At 41.1% G+C, this 17951-nt stretch overlaps 1 protein-coding gene across 5 annotated transcripts in view; it reads left to right on the forward strand.

The window, feature by feature from the left end:
- UBE2R2 (ubiquitin conjugating enzyme E2 R2) overlaps window positions 1-17951 on the forward strand; it is a 105232-nt gene that overhangs the window by 56273 nt on the left and 31008 nt on the right. For 3 of the 5 annotated variants that reach the window (XM_047423541.1, NM_017811.4, XM_011517949.2), the window contains exon 2: window positions 15441-15527. The exons of the other annotated variants lie outside the window; for them this stretch is intronic. In XM_047423541.1, the coding sequence (XP_047279497.1) occupies window positions 15504-15527 (24 nt within the window). In that variant the 5' untranslated portion in view covers window positions 15441-15503. The remainder of the gene's footprint in view (window positions 1-15440; window positions 15528-17951) is intronic. 5 annotated transcript variants of the gene reach the window in all.

Below are 17951 nucleotides of genomic sequence, written 5' to 3' on the forward strand. Positions count from 1 at the left end.
AATTAATTTAAATAGGATATGCTTGTGAGTGGTTCAGGCATTTTAGGGAGAACATATGTGGTAATGGTACAGAAATGTATTTTGGAGGTACTTGTTCTTTTTATTTATTTATTTTTAATTCTATTTGCGATGGACTAGAGGAAGTACTTGTTCTTATGAGTTTGCGTATTAGTCAAAAAAGATGTAAGGAGTTGCCCGAAAAAGAGCCTCTCAAGATTGTAATTAACTTCTGTAACAATTGCTTCTATTGAGTGACGTCTCAGATTCATTTCCGTATTTATTTTTTTTGAGACGGAGTCTCGCTCTGTCGCCCAGGCTGGAGTACAGTGGCGTGATCTTGGCTCACCGCAACCTCCACCTCCTGGGTTCGAGCAATTCTCCAGCCTCAGCCTCCTGAGTAGCTGGGACTACAGGTGTGTGCCACCATGCATGGCTAATTTTTTGTATTTTTTTAGTAGAGACGTGTTTTCACCATGTTAGCCAGGATGGTCTCCATTTCCTGACCTCGTGATCCGCCTGCCTCAGCCTCCCAAAGTGCTGGCATTACAGGTGTGAGCCACTGCACCCGGCCTATTTCCTGTATTTCTTGAGACAGCTGATATATAGGTCAAATTTAAAACTTTACCTCATGAATAATTTTTTTTTAATTAAAGACTATTTTTTTAGCTGGGCATGGTGGCTCAAGCTGGGATTACAAGCATGAGGCACCATGGGAGACTGAGGCAGGGGGATCTCTTGAGTCCAGGAGTTCGAGACCAGCCTGGGGAACATGGGGAACTATCTCTACCAAAAAAAAAAAAAAGTTATCCAGGCGTGGTGGTGTATACCTGTAGTTCCAGCTATTTGGGAGGCTGAGGCAGGAGATTCACTTGAGCCCAGAAGATTGAGGCTGCAGTGAGCTGTGATCATGCCATGGCACTGGTCTTGGTGACAGAGTGAGACCTTGTTTCAAAAGAAGAAAAAGACCCTCTTTCAGAGCAGTTTTTAGGTTAACAGCAAAATTGAGAGGAAGTTACAGATGATAATTTTTTTAAATGGTAAACTTCAATATTTAAAAATCGAGGCACCAGGCATGGTGGCTCACGCCTGTAATCCCGGCACTTTGGGAGGCCAAGGCGGGCAAATCACCTGAGGTCAGAAGGTCAAGACCAACCTGACCAACATGGAGAAACCCCGTCTCTACTAAAAATACAAGATTAGCAGGGCATGGTGGCACATGCCTGTAATTCCAGATACTCAGGAGGCTGAGGCAGGAGAATCGCTTGAACCTGGGAGGTGGAGGTTGCAGTGAGCCAAGACCGCACCACTGCACTCCAGCCTGGGCAACAAGAGCGAAACTCCATTTCAAAAAAAAAAAAAAAGATTTGGTGTGTGTATGAATTTGGTTAGCAGATAACGCTTTAGTACACTTGCTTAACGGTTTCAGAAATAAATGGTTAAGATTTCATATCAGGCCGGGCTCTGTGGCTCTCACCTGTAATCCCAGCACTTTAGGAGGCTGAGGCAGATGGATCACTTGGGGTCAGGAGTTTGAGAGCAGCCTGGCCAACATGGTGAAACCTCATCTCTACTAAAAATACAAAAATTAGCTGGATGTGGTGGCAGGCACCTGTAATCCCAGCTACTTGGGTGGGTGAGACAGGAGAATTGCTTGAGCCTGGGAGGTGGAGGTTGCAGTCAGCAGAGATCACGCCACTGCACTGCTGCCTGAGCGACAGAGCAAGACTCCGTCTTAAAAAAAAAAAAAAAAAAAAAAAGATCTAATATCATAGATACTACTTTAACTTAATTAAATGGACCTGTAGGTAAATGAAAGTCATTTTTCTCTTTAATTTTGTGCTGCTGTTTTTTTCCCCCACCCCTTAGCACAGCAATGGTAAAATGTCTCCTAGGTCATTTAGGGCTGGACAGCCAACTGTGACTTCTAGATATAATGAACTATTACTAAGTTATTATTTTTACAGTTTAACAGATAGCATGATTAAGCAAAAGTTTATTGATAACTTGAATAAAAGGTTACTGCAGAAAGAACCAGTGCTTATGTATATGCACTGTATAACTGCAAAGTAAAGATGATAATTCCATATGTGACCTAAACATAAGACTCCCTAAGGCTATCAAACTTCTTAAGGAAGTTCAGTTATAACTCATAGATTTCATATGTACACAATTTCGAATGAAAAATATCCTGTAATTTATATTAAAACTTTTTTGGGGAGGGGCCAGGTCTCGCTCTGTCACACAGGCTGGAATGCAGTGGTACCATCATGGCTCACTGCATACTTGACCTCCCAGGCTCAAGCGGATACTGCCACCTGAGCATCCTGAGTGGTCATAGGCTCAAGCCATCATGCCTGGCTAAGTTAAAAAAATTACGGTGTGTGTGGAGACGGGGTTTCACCATGTTGTCCAGGCTGAACTTGAACTTCTGGGCTCAAGCGATCCGCCTGCCTTGGCCTCCCAAAGTGCTAGGGTTTCAGGCATGAACCAGCCACTGTGCCTGGCCTAAATTTTTTTTTTTTTTTTGGATGGAATTTCGTTCTGTCACCCAGGCTGGAGTGCAGTGGCACGATCTCCGCTCACTGTAACCTCTGCTTCCCGAGTTCAAGCAATTCTCCTGTCTCAGCCGCCCAAGTAGCTGGGATTACAGGTGCCCGCTGCCATGCCCGGCTAATTTTTGTATTTTTAGTAGAGATGGGGTTTCACCATGTTGGCCAGGCTGGTGTTGAACTCCTGACTTCAAGTGATCTGCCTGCCTCGGGCTCCCAAAGTGCTGGGATTACAGGCATGAACCACCGTGCCCAGCCTTAACTTAGTTTTTATATTTTCAAACTTAATTGAGTGTATCATTCCAGATGTCAATTTTCAGTGCAAAGTAGGCATAGACCATTGTATAGAAGATTCACAAGTGAAAAATCTTCTTTTTTCAGTTTATAAAAATAATAACATGTTTATTATATCAGTCATAAAGAAGTTACAAAGTTCTTTAAATGCCCCATTCTTCCTCCGTTGCCCTCTGTTCCTGAGCTGATCATTGTTAATGGTTAGGAATGTGTCTTTTCAGTCTTTTTAAATATATACATAATGCATATGAAGAAATATATATGCACACATTGTTTTTATATATGTATATATATTATTATTATTTATCCTACCCGCCCCCTCCTCCATTTTATTTTGTAATTAATTTCTACTTTTCATTTCATTTGTGAAAATTTCAGAATAGTTTTTTGTTTGTTTGTTTGTTTTGAGACAGGGTCTCGACTTGTCTCCCATACTGGGGTGCAATGTCAGGATCATAGCTCACTGCAGCCTGGGTTCAAGCAATCTTCCCACCTCAGCCTCTTGAGTAGCCAGGACTACAAGTGCACACCACCATGGCTAGCTAATTTTAAATAATTTTTTTGTAGAGTTGGGGGTCTCGCTATGTTGCTGAGGCTAGTTTTGAACTCCTGGGCTCAAGTTGATCCTCCCGCCTCAGCCTCGCAAGGTGCTGGGATTATAGGCATGAGCCACTGTACCCGGCCTCAAAATGTATTTTTAAAATATGTTTTGTTTTACCTTTTTTTTTTTTTAATTGGCCAGGCTGGTCTCGAACTCCTGACCTTGTGATCCACCTGCCTCGACCTCCCAAAGTGCTGGGATTACAGGCGTGAGCCACTGCTCCTGGCCAAGTTTTGTTTTACTTTTTAAAAAACTTTAAATGAAAATTACTACAGCACCAACTAAATAACATGTATTTTTGAGACCTAACTGTAATACTATTATCACAACTATAAAAGCTCATAATTCCTTAATATCCAGTCAATGTTTACATTTCCCTTGTTCTCATAAATTTAGTTTGTTCAAATCATACCCTGAAATTACTAAGATCTATAATGGGTAAGAGCAAATTTTCTAATATATTGAACTTTATTTTCCCTTTTACTTCTTGTGGAAAATACTTTAATATTTATTAATGCTCCTCAATACAATGATAATGATTTAACCTTTGATTTGATGATTTAAGATTATCTTGGAGCCAGTCGTGGTGCCACACCCCTGTAGTCCCAGCTACTCAGTAGGCTGAGGTGGGAAAATCACTTGAGGTCTTGAGTTTGGGCAACATAGTGAGACCCTGTCTCTAAAAATTAAAAAATAATTGTGTCTTGGGATCCATTTTTGAAGTTTCTCTTAAAATTTGTATATGATCCTCATGATAACTCCCTAGGGTCAGTGTTTTTTGCCATTTTACATAAAAAGGAACTTGAAATCCAGAGATTTAAATGAGTTGACCTAAGGTCAGAGGCCTAGCAAAGACAATGCTTAGAATTGTGCCTGACAAATAAAAGATAGAAAAATGTAAATTAAATAGTCAAGAATCATGCCAGGGCTACAACACAGGGCTACTGATTCTAGTACCTTCCCTTCTTCTTTTAAAATCATTATATTGTTCTGTGAATATAACTGAAATGGTATGAGATCTTATATTCATATGTTAATAGCAAGTTATATCTTATTTCATAAAATTTCAAAAAGGGAAGAAATTTCAGTGACAAGTTGGCTGAAGTAGGAGTATTAAATATGTGTATGAGGTAATACATAGGTAACTATAGGTCACCATATACATGTGAAATAGTATGTTTAAATTTTTAATAAGGGCTGGGCATGGTGACTCACACCTGTAATCCCAGCACTTTGGGAGGCCAAGGCAGGTGGATCACCTGAGGTCAGGAGTTCGAGACCAGCCTGACCAACATGGTGAAACCCTGTCTCTACTAAAAATACAAAAATTAGCCAGGTGTGGTGGCATGCGCCTGTAGCTACTCGAGAGACTGAAACAGGAGAATTGCTTGAACCCGGGAGGCGGAGGTTGCAGTGAGCCAAGATTGCGCCAATGCACTCTAGCCTGGGCGACAGAGCAAGACTCCATCTCAAAAATAAATAAGTAAATAAACAGTTAATAAGGTTCTGAAAAATAAGTAAAGTAATAGAGATAGAGATAAAATTGTATAATTGCTCAGGGAAGCATTACAGCAGGATATTCCCCCTGAATGTTAACTTCAGCTGAATAGTTGAGGATTGTAAACTCCGCTGAAGGAGTTCTTAGTACAATTTAAATAGCCTTACCAGAAGCACACCAACCAATGTTACCTCTTCTAGTGGTAATGTAAGCATACTTTAGGCATGATGCTTTAAAAAAATCAATCATAAGGCCGGGGGCGGTGGCTCACGCCTGTAATCCCAGCACTTTGAGAGGCCGAGGTGGGCGGATCACGAGGTCAGGAGATCGAGACCATCCTGGCTAACATGGTGAAACCCCGTCTCTACTAAAAATACAAAAAATGTAGCCGGGCATGGTGGAGGGCGCCTCTAGTCCCAGCTACTCAGGAGGCTGAGGCAGGAGAATGGCATGAACTCGGGAGGCGGAGCTTGCAGTGAGCCGAGATCGTGCCACTGCACTCCAGCCTGGGCAATAGCGAGACTCCATCTAAAAAACAAATAAAATAAATAAGAGTTCGAGACCAGCCTGACCAACATGGTGAAACCCCAAGTGTACTAAAAATAACAAAAATTAGCCAGGCATGTTGGCACATGCCTGTAATCCCAGCTACTCCAGAGGCTGAGGCAAGAGAACAGCTTGAATTTGGGAAGTGGAGGTTGCAGTGAGCTGGACAACAGAGCGAAACTCCATCTTAAAAAAAAAAACTACTTCTAGAATAAAGTCAAAAGGGTCACATTAAAACTACTTATGATTGAATTTTTTTTTTTTTTTTTTTGAGACGGAGTCTCACTCTGTTGCCCAGGCTAGAGTGCAGTGGCGCGATCTCGGCTCACTGCAAGCTCCGCCTCCCAGGTTCATGCCATTCTCCTGCCTCAGCCTCCCGAGTAGCTGGGACTACTGGTGCCCGGCACCCATGCCCGGCTAATTTTTTCTGTTTTTAGTAGAGATGGGGTTACTCCTTGTTAGCCAGGATGGTCTCAATCTCCTGACCTCGTGATCCGCCCGCCTCAGCCTCCCAAAGTGCTGGGATTACAAGCGTGATGAAGGTAGTATTTTTAAAAGATTATATAGTAGATAATGGTCAAAAAGCTGAAAGTTCAAGAATAATTCAAAATATTAGATGCTTAGAGAAAATACAGAAACCCCATTAATACTACTAACCAATATTTATTAAGATTTAAGTGGAATATAATTAGGTTTGGTAAGGCTCTAAGAAAACTAATTCCATAATCATCAAGGTCTTAAGGTTGGTATTAATCTTTCCAGTTGTCTTATCTAAAGCTGGTAGTATTATAATCTAAGGGCAAGTAGGTAAAAGAGGTAAAACAGTGAAAATTAGCAATATATAAAACAGCCTTCATGATTTTTGCCCCTCTCTGTCTGTCTGTCTGTCTGTCTGTCTCTCTCTCTCTCTCTCTCTCTCTCCCACTCTCCCTCCGTCTTTCCTCAGCCTCCTGAATAGCTGGCATTACAGGCAACTGCCATCACGCCCAGCTAATTTTTGTATTTTTAGTAAGTGATGGGGTTTCACCATGTTGGCCAGGCTGGTCTTGAACTCATGACCTCAGGTGATCCGCCCACCTCAGCCTCCCAAAGTGCTAAGATTACAGGCGTGAGCCACTGCACCCATCCACCTATTTATATTTTTATATCTTTTATTTGTCAGGCACAGTTCTAAACATTGTTCAAGCATTACCTCATTTAATCCTCATACAAACGCATTAAATAAGTACTATTATCCCCTTTTTACTGGTGAGGAAACTGAGATATAAATTAAGTAATTGAGCAATACGCAGCGGCTCACATCTGTAATCTGTCCAGGAGAACGATGGCTGTTTGGACCAGTGGCCCAGGTCCAAACTTACTGAGTAAAGTAATTTACTGAGGCAGTTGTAAGTAAAGGAAGGCAGGCCAGGTGCAGTGGCTCACGCCTGTAATCCCAGCATTTAGAGAGGCTGAGGCAGGAGGATCATTGAGCCCAGGAGTTCGAGACCAGTCTTGGAAACATGGTGAAACCCTGTCCCTACAAAAATTAAATGAAAAATTAGCCAGGCCTGGTGGTGCACGTCTGTAGTCCCAGTTACTCTGGAGACTGAGATGGGAGGATCGCTTGAATCTCGGAGATGGAGGTTGCTATGAGCCAAGATTGCACCACTGCACTCCAGCCTGGTTGACAGAGTGAGACCCCGTCTCAAATTTACAAAAAAAAGGCAGATTTATTAGAGAACATAGGAAAATACATTGCGAGGGATGCCAGCAGCCTGCCAGAGAGAAGCCAACTGCAGAGAAACAAAGGCTTGGTAGAGATTTTATAGGATAGTGTTTATGCTGTATGCTGAAGAGGGCTTTGTGGAGTACTGAAAATGCCAAGGTTGCAGTGAGCTAACTTGCAGGTGTGTGGTGATAGTTGGGCACAGGAAGATTGTGAGTTATTTACACAGGAGGACTTATGTGTCCTGGACGATGAAGAAAGGCTGACTTGTGGCTTATCTGCTTTCTTTTATTGCTTTTCCCTCGGTCCCACTAGCCTGACTCCTTTCCCCTAATTAGGACTACACAGAGTACCCAGCATTTTAGGAGGCCAAAGCGGGAGGATTGCTTGAGCCCAGAAGTTTGAGACCAGCCTGGGCAAAGTGGTGAAATCTTTACAAAAAATCAAAAATTTAGCTGGGCATGGTGTCATGGCCTGTGGTCTCAGCTGCTCAGGAGGCTGGGGCAGGATCGCTTGAGCCTGCGAGGTCAAGGCTGGCAGTGATCCATATTTGTGCCACTGTACTCTAGCCTGGGTGACAGCATAACCCTGTCTTAATCAGTCAATCAATCAGTCGATCAATATAAATTAAGTAAGGGTCGCTTAAGATAACAGCTGAGTTGTAGAGTCAGGATTCAAACCCAGATAGTCCTGGCTTCTTGAGTCAGTGTTCTTTACTGCTATCTGTGCTACCTTTTATTATATTGGTGCATATCATCTATTCTACATAAATTTTCATGCAGCACTGCAAAGATTTCTCTTAGTACCCTAAGTAATCTTAACAAGACTTTTTTCTGAGACAGGGTCTTGCTCTGTCACCCAGGCTGGAGTGCAGTGGCGTGATCACAGCTTACTGCAGACTCGACCTCCTGGGCTCAGGTGATTTTCCCACCTCAGCCTCCTGAGTAGCTGGGATTACAGGCACGTCCACCATGCTTGGCGAATTTTTGTATTTTTTGTAGAGATGGGGTTTCACCATTTGCCCAGACTAGTCTTGAACTCAAGCAACCTGCCCACCTAGGCCTCCCAAAGTGCTGGAATTACAGGCACAAGCCACGGCGCCTGGTCACAAGACTTTTTTTTTTTTTTTTTTTTTTTGAGACGATGTTTTGTTTAATTGATTTCTGCTTTTATGTCAGTTCTCTTTCTTCTGCTTGCTTCTAGTTTAATTTCATAGTCTGTCCTTTCCTCTTTATTTTGTTTGTTTGTTTGGTTTTGTTTTTTTGAGACAAGGTCTCACTCTGTCACCCAGGCTGGAGTGCAGTGGCAAGGTTATGATTCACTGCAGCCTCAACCTCCCAAACTTAAGTAGTGATCCTTCTACCTCAGCCTCCCAAGTAGCTGGGACCTCAGGGGTGCACCATCATGGCTGGCAACTTTTTGTATTTTTTGTAAAGATGAGGTCTTACCATGTTGCTCAGGCTGCCCTCCAACTCCTGCGCTCAAGGAATCCACCCGCCTCGGCCTCCCTAAGTGCTGGAATTATAGGTGTGAGCCACTGCACTTGGCCTAATTTTGTATTTTTCTCATTTCTTAAGTAGAAGCTTATATTATTGAAATGAGACCTACATTTTTTCCAGTGTAGGCAATTCTAAAAATTTCTATTTGAGTATTGCTTTAGGTGTATGTTACAGATTTTCATTGTCATTTTTTTCATGTTCAATTAAACAATTTTCTAAGTAACTTTGTGGCTTCCTCTTTATACTGTGATTTGTACAGTTACGTAATTTCCAAATGTTTGGGGATTTACTAAATATCTTTGAATTTAGAAAATCAGAATTTCTAGCTTAATTCATTGTGGCCAAAGAATATGCTATGTATTATGTCATTTCTTTAAACTTTGTAGATAGATGTTGTACGTTCCAGAATATGGTATGTCTTGGTGCGTGTTCTATGTGTCCACAAAAATAATTTGTATGCTGCTGTTGTTCAGTGGCATATTGTCTTCTATATCCTTACTGAGTTTTTGTCTCCTTGTACTTTAAACCAGGGGTGCCTACCCGATACTGATCTGGTACAACTCTGTGGCCTGTTAGGAAGTAGGCCGCACAGCAGGAGGTGAGCTCAGCCTCCAGTCAGATCAGCTCAGGCATTAGATTCTCAAGGAGTGCGAACCCTGTTGTGAACTGGGCATGTGAGGGATCTAGGTTGAGTGTTCCTTATGAGAATCTGACTAATGCCTGATGACTTGAGGTGGAACAGTTTCATCCCGAAACACCCACCTCACTACCCTTCCCACTCCTCCGCCCTCTTGTCCATGGAAAAATTGTCTTCAATGAAATCAGTCCCTGGTGCCAAAAGGGTTGGGGACTGCTGCTTTAGACTGTTGAGAGAGAAGTGATGATATCTTCAACTGTAATTATGCATTTTTCTATTTTTCCATTTGGTGGCAAAAGTTTTTAGTTACATCATTTTGTGTTCTAAAGCTCTGTTGTTACCAGTGCACACACAGTTAATATTATGTCTTCTTTGTGAATTGATCCCCTTATGAAATTACCCTCTTTATCTGTGATAATATTTTTTGTTCTAAAGTATACTTTCTCTGTTATTCAGATAGCCACTCCAGCTTTATTAACTAATCTCCAGTTAGTTTAGTTTAGATTTCACCAGTTTCTGCACTAATGTATTAATTAAGGTATAATGCATATACCATAAAATTCACCCTTTTAAAGTATATAGTTCAGTGGTTTTTAGTATATTCAGATGGTTGTACAGCCATCACCACCATCTAACTCCAGAATATTTCATCATCTCAAAAAGAATCCCCATACTCATTAGCAGTCACTCTGTATTCTCCTGTGCCTCCATATCATCATCTTATTTCAGAGTCCAGTTCAGGATATCACACTGTATTTAGTTGTCCCGTCTTTTTAGTCTCCTCCAGTCTTTGATGATTTCTCCGTCTTTCCTCATTTTTTGTGACCTTGACAATTTTTGAAGAGGATGGGTCAGGTTTGGTAGAATATTCCTCCATTTGGGTTATCTGATGTTTTTCTCATGACTAGAATGGGGTTATAGATTTTGGGGGAAGAATACCACAAAGATGAAGTGCCTTACTTACTACATCATATCAGGGAGGTCATGATACCAATATGATTTACTGCTAGTGATGTTAACCTTGATCACTTGGTTAACATGTCTGCCAGATTTCTCTACGGTAGAGCTACTATTTCTTTCCATACTTTATTGTTAGAAAGTGAGTCATTAAATCCAGCCCACACTCTAGGAAAGGGGAATTCAACTTCACCACCTGAATGTGGATTATGATTATTTGTAGTACTACTGTAAGGAAGATTTGACCCTTCTCCACCAGTATTTTTCCATTCAGTAATACTTATCAGTATGTACTCATTTATATTTATTTCATATTTTGGGTAACAGTATTACATTATGTATTTTGTAGCTTCGATTATTCTAGTTTTGGCCATTAGGAGCTCTTGCAGTTTGGCTCCTATGCTGTTTTGAAATACTCCAATTTGTTTTCTTTAGCACTTACTTTTTGGCATTATAAGATGCTCTAGGCTTGTCTTTTATTTTTCCTGCCACAGATCTAGAATCAGGTGTTTCACCAAAGGGCCCTGGTTCCTTTTATTGAATAATGATATTTTATATTATTTTATTTATCTTTTGAGATGGAGTCTCATTCTGTCGCCCAGGCTGGAGTGCAGTGGTGCGATCTCGGCTCACTGCAACCTCTCCTGCCCGGGTTCAAGCAATTCTCCTGCCTCAGCCTCCCGAGTAGCTGGGATTACAGGCACCTGCCACTGCACCTGGCTAATTTTTAGTTTTACTAGAGATGGGGTTTCACCATCTTGGCCAGGCTGGTCTTGAACTCCTGACCTCGTGATCCACCCGCCTAGGGCTCCAAAAGTGCTGAGATTACAGGCGTGAGCCACCATACCGGCCAAATAATGATATTTTAGAAATCAAGATCTTTGAGGGACCTGGGTGTTTGGGCTCCAGCCTTTTTTCCCCCTAATCAGCTTTATTGTGATTTTAATGCATATGTCATACAGTTCACCCATTCATTAAAGTATATAGTTTAGTGGTTTCTAGCATATTCACAAAGTTGTGTAACCATCACCAAAATCAATTTTAGAATACATTTTGTCATCTGAAAAAGAAACCTTGTGCCGAGGATAGTGGCTGATACCTGTAATCCTAGCACTTTGGGAGTCTGAGGTGGACGGATCACCTGAGGTCAAGCGTTTGAGACCATCCTGGCCAACATGGCAAAACCCCATCTCTACTAAAAATACAAAAATTAGCCAGGAGTGGTGGCACATGCCTGTGATCCCAGCTACTCGAGAGGCTGAGGCAGGAGAATCGCTTGAACCCAGGAAGTGGAAGTTGCAGTGAGCTGAGATCATGCCACTGCACTTCAGCCTGGGCAACAGAGCAAGGCTCCACCTCAAAAAAATAATAATAATAATTTTAATTGTGTCCCATTTCTTTTTACTTTTGTTCCTTGTGTTTTTGGTGTCACGTGTACAAAACTTAGTGAATGCAAGGTTATGAAGATTTACACCTATGTTTTCTTTTAAGAATTTTATAGTTTCTCTCTTATCTTAGTCCTCCAATTCAATTCATTGTTGACACTGTCTACCTGGAGATAACATCAGATTCTATAGGTTAAGGACTCAGTCCCACAAGAAAGACTGCCTCCATTTTGGATGCCTATGGCAGACCTATACTCCTGATGAATCAGCTATAAATTGGGATTTCCACTACTCCCCCTTAAAAGAATAAGATCAATAAGGCCGAGTGCGGTGGCTCATGTCTGTAATCCCAGCACTTTGGGAGGCCGAGGCAGGCAGATCACGAGGTCAAGAGATCAACGCCATCCTGGCCAACATGGTGAAACCCCATCTCTACTAAAAAATACAAAAATTTAGCTGGGTGTGGTGGCATGCCCCTGTAGTCCCAGCTACTCAGGAGGCTGAGGCAGGAGGATCACTTGAGCCTGGAGGTGGAGGTTGCAGTGAGCCGAGATTGCACCACTGCCCTCCAGCCTGGTGACAGAGCAAGACTCTGTCTCAAAAAAAAAAAAAAAAAAGAAATAAAAAAGAATAAGGTCAATAAATTGACCTATCTTCAAATTCACTATTTTTTCTACCTGCTCAAATCTGTTGCTCAGCACTTAATTTTTTTTTTTAATTTCAGTTTTTGTACTTCTTAAATTTAGTCATCAAAAGGAATGAACAGGCCAGCTGTGGTGGCTCACATCTGTAAATCCCAGCACTTTGGGAGGCCGAGGCGTGGGGATTGCTTGAGCCCAGGAGTTCGAGACCCAGCCTGGGCAATATGATGAAACCTCCAGCCCCACAAAAAAATTAGCTGGGCTTGGAGATGCATGCTTGTAGTCCCATCTACTCAGGTGGCTGAGGTGGGTGAATTACTTGAGCCCAGAATGTCAGGGTTGCAGTGAGCTGTAACCCAGTGTACTCTGTCTAGCCTGGGTGACTGACAGAGCAAGACCCTGTCTCAAAGAATCAACAGTTTTTGTACTTAACAACTTAAGAATCTCTCTCTCTCTCTCTCTCTCTCTCTCTCTCTCTCTTCCCCCTCTCTTCCCCCTCCTACCCCCAACCCCTTTATTTTTTCTTTTTCTTTCTTTTTTTTTTTTTGAGACAGGCTCTTCCTCTGCTGCCCAGCCCTGAGTGCAGTGGTATGATCATAGCCCACTGCAGCCCCACCTCCTGGGCTCAAGTGATCCTCCCACCTCAGCCTCCTATGTAGCTGGGACCACAGACACCACCATACCCGACTGATTTTTAAATTTTTTGTAGAGTAGGGTCTCGCTACCTTGCCTAGGCTTGTCTGAAATTCTGGGCTCAAGGGATCCACCTGCCTGAGCCTTCCAAAGTGTTGGGATTACAGGCATGAGCCACCACTTTTTGTGGATTTTTAAAAATAATTTATCTCATTATTGATATTCAGTATTTATGGGTGAAACACCATTCTCATGCTTTCCTTTAAGTTCTTTAGCCATGATTTTCTTTAGTCCTTTGAAATGTTTAAAGGTTTAAAGATAAGCTGATTTAGTCTTTGCCTAGTAACTTGAATACTTAGGTTTCCAGTTTCTATTGATTCTTTTTTTTTTCTCCTGTTGTATGGACCATACTTTGTTCATAGCTTGTAATATTTTGCTGAAAACTAGAAATTTAAATAATATACAGTGGCACCTGCAGGAATCCAATTCTCCTCTTCCCCAGGGTTTTTGTTGTTGCCATTGCTGCTGCTGTTGTAATTACTGTTGACTTCTTTTACCTAATTATATAATGTCGATATTATTGTTATGTGTGGCCAGTGAATTCTCCACTCAGCTTAGTGGTCAGGTAATGATTGAACAGAGATTTCCTTGGTTTTCTAGAACCAGTTAGTTAGCTGGAATTTGTAGAGAGGCTCTGCGTATGTGTCATTGCATGTCTTCAACTTAATTCAGACAGGCATTTGCAAACTCTTTACTTTCTTGTTGTATACATTCTCAAGTTAAGCCAGAGGTATAAAGTTAGGGCCTTCTTAGGGCTTTCCTGAGCATGCACATAGTGCTGGGCATGTGCATAGCTCTACACATTGTCATGGTATTATAGACTCACAATAATTTGTCAGAGCTTTTCAGAACCATAATGGACAACTCTTAGCCCAGCCCAGCTTTTCCTTAACGTTTTTGGTTAGTCTGTTTTGTATTTTCCACTGCCTCAGGTACCTTTAAGATTAAATAGTTGCCTGCCATTGTTTTCAACAAAGCTGCCAGGGAAAATGTTTTCATATTGGCCAAGCTCCAAATCCAATCATATGTAGACAGCCTTGCAAGTGGAGTTTTCTAGGGAACCATTAGAAAAGTAAACTTAATGACAATTCTCTGGGAGTAAGGCTTTGGCGAAATGCCAGCCCATTCTATCCTCTCCAGGGCCTGTCAGCTTCCTTGGTTTTTACTTTGAATGTGTTTTAAGGCTGCTGCACAGCTAGAGTATAGGAGATTGGATTAGGGTAAGTTAAAATCACGTAGCTTGATGTTCTTACTGAATGTCAGCCATTTTCTTTAAATATCTACTCCTTGAATTGTTGCAAGCCTCTGGTTATTTTCTGGAATTCTGAAAATGATGCTTATAATTTTTGGCAATTTTCCCATTGCTTTTGTGGAAGAGAGAACTTTTCAGGTTTTCTGGATTTCTTCATATATAAAATACGGGGATACTGCAAAGGACGTTCACTGCAGCAGGATTTGTAACAGCAAAGGTGTGAGAAACAACCCAAATGCCCAAAATAAGGAAATAGTTTTATAAAATGGTTCATGTAGGTATACATTTGATGGAGTATAATGCAGATACTGTCAGTCATCCATGTAAAGAGAATATTTTATGGTGTAAAAAAAATGTTTACAATGTGATACAGGTGAAAAAAGCAGAATACAAAATACAGTATGTTGAAGTTTTTAAAAATACGTTTTGTAAGGGAAATCAGCAATGTCAGCATTTATTATTTCTGGGTGATAGAATGACAGTTAAATTATGTGAGTAAAAAGAAAAATACCGTTGTTCCATATTGTGTACTCTAAAATTAGATTATTTTGTTATAAAAATAAAATGTACAGAGTACTGTTTTTCACTTGTGAGGCAAGTTAAAATTATATTTATGTATGTTTGTGTATGTGAGTGAGTGTGAGTTTTGGTGACTTAAAATAGCCTTTTATAGGGGCAGGGCACGGTGGCTCACGCCTGTAATCCCAGCACTTTGGGAGGCCGAGGCAGGTGGATCACAAGGTCAAGAGATTGAGACCATCCTGGCCAACATGGTGAAACCCCGTCTCTACTAAAAATACAAAAATTAGCCGGACGTGGTGGCGTGCACCTGTAGTCCCAGCTACTCGGGAGGCTGAGGCAGGAGAATCGCTTGGACCTGGGAGGTGGAGGTTGCAGTGAGCTGAGGTCACGTCACTGCACTCCAGCCTGCTGACAGAGTGAGACTCCGTCTTAAAAAAAAAAAAAAAAAAAAGGCTTTTATAAATATTTGAAGGGGTGCTGTAAGAACTTACTAATGACCCTGGCACTGGGGATAACAAAGTATGTCTGAGCTACTTTAATCTCAAGAGTTTACTCTATGAAAGGAGCTTTGTTTCTGTGGCGTGTAGTAGGGTGAATTATTAGGCAGATGAATAAGTTATAGTCTCATTTATTAGCATTTCATTTTTTTTCTTTTCAGGCGCATATTAAATTTCCTATTGACTACCCCTATTCACCACCTACCTTCAGATTCTTGACCAAAATGTGGCACCCCAACATTTATGAGGTAAGGAGACATCCATCATAAATTTCTCTGAAGATTTTTTTTTTTAAATCAGTACTTTAAAATAGCCTATCTCAGCACACTTTGATACTTAGGCTTTTGTAGCCATAGAGAAATATTAATGATTTTGCACTTCAGTTAACAGTTTCTGGATTAATTATTTAACATTAGTGTAGTTTTATAATATCCTGTGTATATTCTACAGGATAAAGGATAAAGTAAAGGATTTGGGCTTTAGACTTTTGCTGTTCATTGCTAGGGTTATAATACACATGTCTTTAACATGTGCATTTAAAAATTTAGTAGATAATGTAATATAAATTTATTTGTGTGCCTATCCTCTAACTTCACAGCAAGGGTCACCTGTTCCTATGGGTGAGAGATTCAGCTTTTGGTAGGGGGAGCGGGATTTATCCCATTACATTTGGACTGGCCTCCTTTTAGGAATTGCTGCTGAACATTTGGGAGGCTCTTTTGGAATAAATTCAAGGTGAGGTTCTTGTACTAGACAAGTGCACATGCCTGGGGGAAGCATTTCTAGCTTTGTTGATGAAACGTACTTAGCTTTGGGCTAATCCATAAGGATACTAGAATAATGCATTCTGTTTCTCAGGTTGATATATGAGGGCCCGCTAGTTTTTTTCCTTTGAGGCTACTCTTCACTATTCTATAAGTGTGCTTTTTTGTTTGTTTGTTTGTTTGTTTGTTTGTTTGTTTGTTTGTTTTTGAGACAGTCTCGCTCTGTAGCCCAGGCTGGAGTGCAGTGGCGCAATCTCGCTCACTGCTACCTCTGCTTTCCGGCTCCCAGTTCAAGCAGTTCTCCTGCTTCAGCCTTCCGAGTAGCTGGGATTACAGGCATGCGCCACCATGCCCAGCTAATTTTTGTATTTTTAGTAGAGATGGGGTTTCACCATGTTGGCCAGGCTGTTCTTGAATTCCTGACCTCGTGATCCACCCACCTCGGCCTCCCAAAGTGCCGGGATTACAGGCGTGAGCCACCGCGCCTGGCCTACTATTCTAAAAGTGTGTTTTTAAATCTCCAAATGTTTTGGGGATTTTGCAGGTATCTTTCTGTTAGGAACTTCCAGTTAAATTCCGTTGTGATCTGAAAGCAGACATTGTATGATTTCTATTTTTAAAAATTTGTCAGTATGTGCCTTATGGCCCAGAATGTGGTATATCTTCATGAAAGTTCCATGTGAACTCAAGAACAATGTGTAATCTGCAGTTACGAGTGTAGTAGTCTATAATGCTCATTATATACACTTGAAGAATGGTGTTGCTGAGTCCAGCTATGTCTTTACTTATTTTCTGCCTGCCAGCTCTGTCCATTTCAAAAAACAAAAAAACAAACAAAAAAAAATTCTGTAATCTTTTATTTGCAATATGGTTTTGCAGTGGTCTCATTTTTTCGTAGCAGCATCCCAAGCATTGAAATTGCTTTAGAGTCTTGCCATCTTAGTCATGCATCAGTTCTTTTTTTTGGCCCTGTGGATGTTGGAAGTACCTTTGCTCCAGAAACTGAGCTAACATCACCTTTAAATTACTTTTATTTTATTTATTTATTTGTTATTTGAGATGGAATCTCTGTCACCCAGGCTGGAGTGCAGTGGTGCGATTTCAGCTAACTGAACCTCCACCTCCTGGGTTCAAGCGATTCTCCTGTCTCAGCTTCTTGGGTAGCTGGGACTACAGGTGTGCACGACCACACCTGGCTAATTTTTGTATTTTTAGCAGAGACAGTGTTTCACCATGTCGGCCAGAGTGGCCTCGAACTTCTGACCCCAAGTAATCCACCTGCCTTGGCCTCCCAAAGTGCTGGGATTACAGGGTAAGCCACCATGCCCGGCCACCTTTAAATTGCTTTTAGGCAAGAAATGGAGAACTCGCTCTAGGGTCTTGAATTTGGAGTTCATTCTGTATAAATGAGCACATTGGGGCAGCTGTGTCATTTTCCACAGTCTGTTTCTTATGTAAGATATCTTAATTTTTCTTTTTCAGACAGAACAGACTGGTACTGAAATGATATATAGTTTTCTTTTTAGAAATAAGCTTTCTAAATATTGTTTAATATTTGACATAATATAAATAAACAATAGTGACTACACTGTTCTGTGTAACAACATTATCTTCCTTTTGTAGGAAAGAGTCTGTAGAAATAATTCATTGTTTCCTAAGTTCAAACTGAGTTCAGTACGCACAGCAGTATTTTGGTGTCTGTCTTAGTACATTTGCTTAGACTGGATAATATATTAACAACAGAAATTTATTGCTCACAATTCTGGAGGCTGGGAATTCCAAGACCAAGCCACCAGCACATTTGGTCTGTTGAGGGCTTGTTTTTCAAGCCTGTTTTGTTGCATCTTTATGGGAGAAGAGGCAAGGCAGTTCTCTCTTGCCTCTTTCTTTTTTTTTATTTTTAGTAGA

Source organism: Homo sapiens, chromosome 9, assembly GCF_000001405.40.
Source record: "Homo sapiens chromosome 9, GRCh38.p14 Primary Assembly".
NCBI classification, from domain to species: Eukaryota; Metazoa; Chordata; class Mammalia; order Primates; family Hominidae; genus Homo; species Homo sapiens.